Genomic DNA, 10,612 nt, shown 5'->3' with positions numbered 1-10,612 from the left:
TTGCCCAAGCTGGTCTTGAACTCCCAGGCTTCAATTCCCAAAGGGCTGGAATTATAGGTGTGAGCCACCACACCTGGCACCCCAATTGTTTTTTATGCTATTGTAAGTTGAACTGTTGTCTGAATATTCTTTTTGGATTGTTTATCCTTAGTGTAGAGAAACACAACTGATTTCTGTGTATTGATTTTGTATTTTGCAACTTTGCTGAATTTATTATTTTAAACAGTTTTTTTCAGTGAGCTCTTTAGGCTTTTCTACATATAAGATCTTGTCACCTGTGAACAGAGATCGTTTTACCCCTTTTCCAATTCAGATGTTTTTATTTCTTTTTCTTGCCTAATTGCTCTGGCTAGGACTTCTAGTACTATGTTGATTAGAAGTGGTGAAAGTGGATATCCTTTTCTTGTGCCTGATCTTAGAGGAAACACTTTCAGTCTTTCACTGTTGAGTATGATGTTAGCTGTGGGTTTTTAATATATGGTCTTTATTGTGTGGAGATAGTTTTCCTCTTTTTCTAATTTGTTGTGTTGTTGTTGTTTTTAATCATGAAAGAGGTTCAATTTTGTCAAATGCTTTTTCTGCTTCAGTTGAGATGATCACAAACCTGAGCTTTTATAACTAGGAAATGGCTTTAATTCCCAGCCCAAAAAGTTATCGGAAGAGGCCCCAGCAATTTAAAAGTTATAGTTTTGTTTCATGAAACCCTGTTCTCTTCCATGCCTCTTGGTGAATCCAAACACTTGTCAATTGCATCAATCAAACCTAGATATTTTCCTTCCCTGACCTGTCTACTGTATTCTTAAGCCTAGCAGTAACTAACTATAGTATTCCCTTCTTTCTTGCTAACAATTGAAGGAAAAAATAAATCAATTTGGACTAATTAACAAATGGCTAGGAGTCAGGTTTTATGGAATGAATTTACTTTTATTTTGAAAAATCTTACAGTAAAATTGACTTCTTTTTGGTATACAGTTCAAGGAATAAACATGCATAGATTCACGTAACTGCTGCCGCAATCAGGATACAGAACAGTTCTATCACTCCCAAAAAACTCCTGCATGTCATCTCTCTTTATTGTCACATCCTCCTCCTTCCTTGATCCTCTGGCAACCACTAATCTTCTTCTTTCGTCTTTTTGAAAATGTCATATGGTGTGTAATATGTTGTGTCTGTGACTAAAAGCTTAAATGTGACTGATGATTTTGCTAAGAACCATTTTGAGCAACATCCTTCTTGTTCTGCAGAATTGTCCCAAACTGTGAACCTGATATCATCATCATCATGGTAGGAGTTCATAATCAAAGGTTCATAGGTTAGATTGGCCTCACAATACTAGTGTCTAAACTTCTATCTGTCTCTAACTTCTCGATGGAGAAGGGTGTTGGCCAAATTCTAAGGCCAGTGGTTGATGATTGGGATTAAGCTTTTAGCACCTATGCCACAAGAAATAATAGGAAATAAGGTTACCATCTGTGGTACATGGTCATTTCATGACCATCATATGTTATCTATACATGAAGGACAGTGAGGAGGAAATGTAGTAAGCTAAAAACTAAAGGACTGTACAGATATTATTTCAGAGAGATTATAAAGCAACTATCTTTTGCTTCTACTGTAGTGGTCAGTGAATTAATTTTCTTGGTTCGTTGGATGAAACAAATTTAGTAAAGTGGAAATAGTCATATTGTGTCTATTAGAATGCTTTTGACTGCAAGCAGGTAGAATATCTGGCTAAAAGTGACTGAAATAATGAGCTTTATTATCTCACACAAAAAAGACATCCAGAAGTAGGTGGTTCTAGGGCTGAATCAGTGGTCTCAATAATGTCATGAAGAATGAATGAAGCTTTTTTCATCCTCCATTCCACCGTCCTCACATGAAAACGTTTGGTCTCTTACTTGCAAGATGGCTGCTGCAGCTCCAAGTACTGGGTCCTCAGACAATTGCATTGCTATGTAGGAAGCCGGGAGCAGCTCAGGTGACAAGAGAGCTCTTCTCATGTGTGCTTGCTTTTTTTTTTTTCGTCTTGAAGGAAAACTGTTTTCCAAATCCCCCCAACAGACTTAGCGTTATGTCCCATAGTCAGAACTGGGTCCCTTGGTCATTTGTTAACATGAAGGCAAAGTGGGTCTCTAGCATTTAACTGTTATCATGTGACATGGGCTGGGACAGGAGGGATGGAAGGTGAGGAAACTGACTCCTGGAGAGGCAACAGATTTGCCTCACTCCGTTGTGAGGATTAAATGCAGTAATGTGGGTAAAGCACCTCTTATTGGGCTGGCACATAAGGGGCTCAATCCTCATTAATTCTTTTTATTTCATGTTTCCCTTCTCCCCTTCAATTTTCTTTCCTCATTTTTCACGTTTAGGAGAAATACAGAAATTCAAAAGTTTTGCTGACCTTCCCTAGATAAAGGCCCTGCTTGTCTCTCCCACCCTCCTCCTACTTCTTGGAGTTCTGCAGCTCGAGTTTCCACAAACCAATTGGAATCTCCTGGACCTCTCAAAAGTCCCTCACCTTAGACTGAGGAATACATTGTTATGGCTGGTCCATAGATGTCAATTACAGACATAAAACTGAGAAATCCTTATAAAGAAAAAAAAAGAAAACCCATCAGAGTATGTTGTCATTACAATGTTAGCCTCCACTAGAAAATCATCTATTTCAGTGGAGTGAAGCTCTTTTCATACAAAAAAGGAGCAAAAGGCGCCCGCATCTGTGCCTGTCTGTACTGACTGCTGGCTCTGAGCACCATAAGATGTTTCTTGCCATTAGAGCAATGATTTCAATTTTTCCATTCCAACTGTGGTGAAAATGAATAAGAAAACTGAGTCCTGCCTCTGGAAGCAGCATACAGGTTCCACACTAATCAAAAAAGGAAGATTCATTATTAGACAATATTTCACTCCCCAGACTTTGAAAGTTCCTACATTTGTCAGAGTAGCTCTGAATCACTTCACAGCCACCGCAGGATTAGAATGGGGGTATTGTACAAGCCTGACCCTTTGCAGTTAAGTTTTTTTCCCCTTCTAAATGAGCTGCTCTTGCTACTCTCTGAGTCACTGCAATCCAAATCTCATAATTTCATCTCCTTCTCTTCTATCATTTTACCAGAGAGCCATTTAAAGGGGGGGCAGGCATGCAGATTTTATTAAAGGGGCCATAGCACTCCCTAAAATGCATTTAACTAAGAAGTGCCAATGAAATATCGACACTGTCACCAGGTAAAGGAGAATGAAGTTTTTAGGACCTGCTTAGTAGTGATAAATACTTCAAAGGGCCACATTTCTATTTGCCAAACCAAAGCAGATTTAGCAATGGAATCATGAGACCGTCCTAATGAGGGTGACCCTGGGCTGAGTGCCTGAGTGACTCCCGGGCTCTAAGAAACCCCCTTCTCAGACATGGGCTTCCCTTTCTCTCACCCAGTGGAAAAGCCAGCAGAAATCTGCTGTGCAGTCCTATCACTTATGAACATCCAGAGACAACAATGTTGACAACCATAGGCTGTGGCACTGTGCAATTCTGTTGGACACATTGCAAAGGAAAACCACCAGCAGCTGCCCGAAGCTGGTTTTCTCTTATTAAAATTTGGTTAATAAAGCCTGTACCATGAAAGAAACCAGATGAAAAACCAGCCTTCATCAAGGAGGGCTTATTGCAGGCTGGGAAAGATATTGTTTTGTCCAAGTCAGTAGGTTTCTATCAACTTGAACACCTCTGCATGGACTTAGGTGCTCTGGGATAATACGGAGGGAGTTGGAAGACTGCTGCTGTCTTGTGAGAGCATTCCCTTTTCTGTCTTTGGGAGCAGGAGCAGACTGACATACAGGAAACTGAGAGAAACCTGCTTAAGGAGGGTATGGAATCATGCGCAACTGTGTGGGCTGAGTGCAAGTGGATTAAAAAGGACACAAAGGTTGGTGTGAGATGATGAGTGCCTTCCAAACAGGGGCCCAGGTGGCTCATTTTGGTATCCTCAACATTGTGAACTTGTCACACAAGGTAGGGATTTAATAAGTAAATTTCAAGTAAAGGTCAAGTCTACGCTTTCACCTGTAATTTCAACCTGCCCCATTTTATACCTTACTGCATTTGCCCTTGCACTTAAAATATACACCAAAATAAAAGCACCTCAAAACCCCATTGAGTTTCTAACCAGTTACACGCTGACACACACACACTTACACATTCAGAATCTCTCATTCTCGTTGTTCTCTCTCAATCTCACACTCACTTTATATCTCCTCCATCTCCAGCATTGTTGCCAGGAGTTGGAGACAGAGTAGAATAGCACTTACTTTTTTGATTTTTCCAAATTTTCACCAACCAGTTCACAAAAGCACAAGGATGAAGAATTAGAAAAGTGGAGGAAGGACCTGGTGCAGTGGCTCACACCTGTAATTCTAACACTTGGGGAAGTTGAGGCAGAAGGATCACTTGAGCCCAGGAGTTCGAGACCAGCCTAAGCAACATAGAGACACCCCATCTCTACTAAAAAAAAAAAAAAATTTCGCTGGGTATGGTGGTGGATGCCTGTAGTCCCAGCTACTCAGGAGGCTGAGGTGGGAGGATTGTTTGAGCCTGGGAGGTCAAAGCTGCAGTGAGCTATGATCACACCACTGCACTCCAACCTGGGTGACACAGTGAGACTCTGTCTCAAAAAAAAAAAAAATGTGGAGGAAGGAGACAAGCGAGATGATGGGAGAGGGGAAGAGAAGAGAAAGAATAGGTGAGAAAGAAAACCAGAGAAGTTAAGCTTCCCATTGTGGGTAGGGAGTGAATTGTGAATGACAATGCTTTTCCTCTATCAAGGTTAAGGAGGATGGCTCCCAGATTGTACAGCAGAGTGAGAGTCCTGCAAAGATAAACTGCTTTGGATGCACTGACTTGTGGAGAAGGAGAAAAAAGGAGTGGAACAATTTCCATTCTGTCATAAATTCTGGCCATGCATTTTTCTTGAAGAGTTTAGCTTCTCATGGATATGACACGTTTTTGTATAGGTCCTATTCATTAAGCTGACTCTAGCATAAAGTTAAATGACAAATGCTTTGTTGGGAAAATGTTGGACCACTTCATGGATGCAGATGCCTTCTTGGCAGCTGTGATGGTTAATGGTTAATTTTATATGTCAACTTGGCTGGGCCATGGGGCGTCCCGATACTTGGTCAAACATTATTCTGGTTGTTTCTGTGAGGGTATTTTTGGATAAGATTTGCACTTAAATCGGTGGACTTCGGGTACAGCAGATGGCCCTCCATAATGTGGGTGGGCCTCATCCAATCCCCTGAAAGCCTAAATAGAACAAAAGGCTGACCTCAGAGCAAGAGGGAACTCCCCAGCATACTGCCTGTAGACTTCATCTACATCGGCAATTCCTGCTTGTCCAGGAGACTGCCTTGGATTTGAACTGCACCTCTTTCCTGAGAGGCCTCTCCTGTCAGATTTTGGACTTGCCAGCCTCCACAATATCTTAAAATCTATCTATCTATCTATCTATCTATCTATCTATCTATCTATCTATCTATCTATCTATCTAATCTATCTATCCATCTATCATCTTTCTGTCTATCCTGTCCATACACCTGTACACACTTTAGTGATTCTGCTTCTCTGTAGAACTCTGACTAATCCAGCATCCCCTAAGCTGACAAGCAAGGCTAAGATGTAACAAATGTGCTCGTGCCTTTCCTAACCAGCACCGTAACTGAGGAGTGTGGACTAAGAGGCCATGAGCCCAGGATCGTAAGTCAGTGGGCCTAGGTTATGTGTGAGCCTTGTCCCTTCCTAGTGCTCTGCTCTGGATAGATTACCTAAGCTCCAGAAACAATTACTCAGATGACTAAAGCATTGCCAACCTCTGACGTGTTCATTTTCTATTGCCATTGTAACAAATTACCATACACAGTATGCTTGAAACAAGGTAAATTTATTCTCTTACATTTCTGCAGATCAGATCAAAGTGTCAGTAGGGCGTCTGAAGGCTTCGGGGAAGAATCTATTTCTTGCTTTTTTCAGCTTCTGGAGGCCACTTACATTCTTTGGATCATGGCCACTTCCTCGCATCACTCCAACCTCCTGCTTCTGTTGTTGCATCTCCTACTACTCCTTTTATCACTGCCTGCCTCTTATAAGGCCCTTATGACTGCAGTGGGCCCACCCAAATCACCCAGGATCATCTCCTTCTATCAGTGTCCTTAATCATATCTGTAGAGTCTCTCTGGACATTTAATACATTTACACATTCCGGGAATTAGGACGTGGACATCATTGGTGGTGGGCAGGGGGTATTATTCTACCTACCACACCTGGTCAGAGGTAATTGGTTACAAATGGAAGGTGAGATAGGGGAAGGATTCTAAGATTTCAGAGTTGGTACTTAAAATTATTTTATTTTTTAGAAAAGTACTCGATTATGTGACAAACATAGAAAGTTGCAACAAAGAAATGCTTTCTTGGCTACTAAAGAGATGAACATGTGTTGGCACTATATTTTTATTTAACAATGACAATTCTGCTCCTAGAATAATCAGAGTAAAGCTTCCCCCACCTCTAAAAAATTAACATAAAAATGTCTTAAAAAATATAATATTGTGGCCAGCTAGGTATACAAATCTGTGGGGCTTCATGTCCTGACAGATTCACTAAGCATTCCATCCAGTCTCCTGTGAGGGACCTTTGGCAGGAATTAAAGCCTTTCAAGAGAGACCCTGAGAACCTTCCTCAAAACGTTAATTCAAGTATCATAAATCTACAACATCATTTGTATTCTAGAACATGTCATCCCAATATAAGTTCTAGCATTGTTGTGCCTTCAACATGCTGAGTACAGTGTTTGAGAATCAGTCACTTTCAATGCTTCCCTCTTGGCCAAATGGATAACTTTAGGGAAGTTTCTAGCCTTTCTTTTTGGTGCATGGCTGTATTTTGAGTGCTCAGGATATTGCCATAACCTTTGCTTGGTCTGTTCTTAGCAGAAAAAACTCTAACTCTAACTCTATAGAAAAGGGAGAACATTAAAAAAAAATCAGTTTTCAAAAATCATCCTGATGCTGAATTTAGTTCAACAATTGTTGGGGTGGTTATAATAATTTCAGGCCAGGTGCGGTGGCTCACACCTGTAATTCCAGCACTTTGGAAGGCGGGTGGATCACTTGAGGTGAGTTTGAGACCAGCCTGGCCAACATGGTGAAACCCCAACTCTACTAAAATTATAAAGGCCGGGCGCAGTGCTTCAAGCCTGTAATCCCAGCACTTTGGGAATGTGAGGCGGGTGGATCACCTGAGGTCAGGTGTTCGAGACCAGCCTGGCCAACATGGTGAAACCCCGTCTTTACTAAAAGACAAAAATTAGCGGGGCATGGTTGCATGCGCCTGTAATCCCAGTTACTCGGGAGGCTGAGGCAGGAGAACTGCTTGAACCTGGGAGGCAGAGGTTACAGTGAGCTGAGATTGCGCCACTGCACTCCAGCCTGGGTGACAGAGTAAGACTCCATCTCAAACAAACAAACAAATAAATAAATAAATAAAATAGCAAAAATTAGCAGGGTATGGGGGCACACGCCTATAATCCCAGCTAATTGAGAGGTTGAGGCAGGAGGATCGCTTGAGCCAGGAGGATTGCTTGAGCCCAGGAGGCAGAAGTTGCAGTGAGCCAAGATTGTGCCACTGCACTCCAGCCTGGGTGACAGGGTTAGACTCCATCTCAAAAAAAAAAATAAAAGCAAATTTCAAATAGCCAGTGAAGACTCATGGTTTGAGCCTGATCCGATGGTTAGGACTCACCTAATCGTGGGTACCCCAGATTGCTTGCTCTTTTCTGGTGATGGCACTCTCTTACAGAGTTCACCTGCCTTCAGGCTCAAGGACTTCAAATAAATACTGGAAAACTGGTCTAGAGCTCAAGAGTGACTTATTCTCCCCACACCAAGGACATTTTACTACGTATAATTATGCCTCCCCTCTTCTTCCTTCTTCTTTTTAACTCTAAAATTCTCTTCATTGTCTATTTGAAATTGATTTTAGTTCAGTCAACCTAGTTCCCCTTGTTGAAACATCCCAGTCATCTCCAGCCCTTCAGAGATCTTTGGTTCTGTTACTTCACTGTCCAGTTTTGTTTCCTCCTTTTCTTTTTAAAGCTTGACTTTATTGATGGAAGAAGGACATTTTCTTGTTTTTCAGCATGATGTGAATTGCCATCATGGCAAAGGAGGCCAACCATGTCATAGCTCCTGTCACTGTGTAGGCAAGACCTAAGAAAAGGCTATTACCCCCACACCATGTCAGGGTGGAGAGAACAACTGATTTTTCTCCGTGGAACCTGGTTACTGGGAAGTCTAAGAAGACCTGTTAAGAATCTGACTCAACACTTCACATTTCTAGTATTGCATATACTGAATATATTAGGTTGACACATATAAAATTGCTCTTTTTTATAGGTAAAAAAATGGTTAAATATCTAATCTCATATGCTGCAACTTAATCTTTACCAAGCACTACTCTGTATCTTGCTGGAATGAAAATAAAAACAAGCCTTCCCTCTACATAGTTGTAAGCTACGAAAGAGATTCTGACACAGATCTGAATGACTTATAGACAACTGATAATGAACAAATATATTTAATTTCCTTTGGCAAACCCAAGGAAATTACAATCATACAAACCTAAATTTTTATATATGAATTAGAAGACCCAGGGCAGGCTATAGTCCTTTAGTAGGCTAAGGTTTGAATTCCTACCTCAGGGAAAATTCTTTAAGGGGAGTGAAGAACAAGCAAACAAAAAGATCACAAAACATTTTTGGTAGTCGAACTAAAGGTGGTACATTCATTTGGGTTTTGGAAAGGCCAGTATCCCCATGCTGGGGAGAAAGTGTTTGAAGTGGGTTTGCTATCATTAGCATTTTAATGATGTCATTTTGATTATACATGTGGCCTGAGGTTTTTAAACATCTGGTGCCTTTTGTAAACCAAACTAATAAACAAAGAAAGGCTTCTCATAGCAACGGCACAGGAAGGAGGCATTTCCCAGCAAAGCTATTAAAGGGCCTCAAATCACTTGGCAACGTGCTATTTAAAGGCACAAGGAAAATTAGTATGAAACTAGTTCTCTCTCTTCTTTTCCATCAGAATTCCTCATTGTCACCAGGTCCTTGGGTGCCACCTCAACCCATCTGCCTGTTTTCTCCCTCCCTCAGTTCTATATGAGAAGGTCTTCTCCTCATACACAGAACATCTTTTTTCCCCTTAGAAATGGTAGGCACTTTCTTAGTCTGGTTGGATAATACTCACACCAGAGCTGTACCCAGGTAGTGCAGTTATAGGCCTGAAGCTTAGGATTGAAGTTCTATGTACACAAAAAATTTTGATTTGAGAGGGATTAGCATTAAGACATGACTGTGAATGAAGTCACCCAGGGAAAGCATGTCCAGAGAGGAGAAACAGAATGTCTCTGTTATTGGGAACATGCCTCCCTTCCTCATCCTGCCAACCCCAAGGTCATTGTAACACATCGTGGGATAGTAGTGCATGAAGTTTTTTCCTGCTCCTCGAATGCACCCATAACTGCTTTAATGGTAAGGCAGTCCCAAAATTGACAGAATCAGAAGGCCCACCTTGAGAGACCAGTTTTAAGCAACTTTCAACCTCTGCTTCAATTTTTTTGAGGGAGAGAGGAGTTTGCTGAAATTCTTATTCAAAGGGTTTACTCTTTGATCTGTACCTATAATGCTCCATGAGAGGCAATTTGTGGCTTTCATTTTCATTTTCATAGAACTAGACACCCTGCTAAAGGGACTAACTGAAGTCATACCTCCTCCTGGTCAGTAAACAAAAGGAGACAAAAAGCTGAGAGGCAGAGATCATGTCTCATCAGTGGGGGCCTTTCTGACTGAGAAATGCTCCCACTTCCCTGTCAGAATGGAAATGTCCACATACCTGTTCTAGGATGGAAAAGAAGAAAAGTTGGAGCAGGGAACTGGAGCACATGCCATCATTCCCTTCTCCTCAAGAATTTCTTATTCAGCCTCCCTGAAAGGTAAAGAAACTAAGGAGGTGGACAATTTTGTGTTAAAATTGACCCATTGGGGGTCCCATTGAACAACTAGCCAGGAGCCTTGGGAGGATGAACACAGCGGTGCTAACTGGGCTGCAATTTCAAAGTCGTGTAAAAGGCCTGGAATGATTCTGCCTCCAGAGAATGCTACCTCAGGGAGAATCAGGAGGAGACTTGAAAATTAAATCTAAAGACCAGAGTTAGTGTAAATTGTATTTAAATATATAATTTCTTAAAGGTAGTGTTTGGTGCCATGCTAAAGTTAAAGCCTGTTTGTTTTCAAATCAAGAACTACATTTGTATTTTTACATTAAGTGAAAAAATTCAGACTCTTATATTTAAGCATGTGTCAGCCTGGGCAACAAGGGAGACCCCATCTCTGAAAAAAAAAAAGAGAGAGAGAATTAGCTGGGCATGGTAGTGAGTGCCTATAGTCCAAGCTACTTGAGAGACTGAGGTGGGAAGATCACCTGAATCCAGGAGGTCAGGACTGCAATGAGATGTGACTGCGCCACTGTACTCCAGCCTGGGCAACAGAGCAAGACCCTGTCTCAAAAG

At 41.4% G+C, this 10,612-nt stretch overlaps 1 annotated feature.

Annotated features, from left to right (window-relative positions):
• Nucleotides 9,883-9,932: a silencer, noted in NCBI's record as "silent region_14569". NCBI's record gives its function as "represses an Ori minimal core promoter by ATAC-STARR-seq in GM12878 lymphoblastoid cells {active_cell/tissue: GM12878}" and the evidence as "EXISTENCE:reporter gene assay evidence [ECO:0000049][PMID:35858748]".

This window comes from Homo sapiens, chromosome 3 (genome assembly GCF_000001405.40).
Source record: "Homo sapiens chromosome 3, GRCh38.p14 Primary Assembly".
NCBI classification, from domain to species: domain Eukaryota; kingdom Metazoa; phylum Chordata; class Mammalia; order Primates; family Hominidae; genus Homo; species Homo sapiens.
This window is presented reverse-complemented; position numbering and strand designations above follow the sequence as displayed.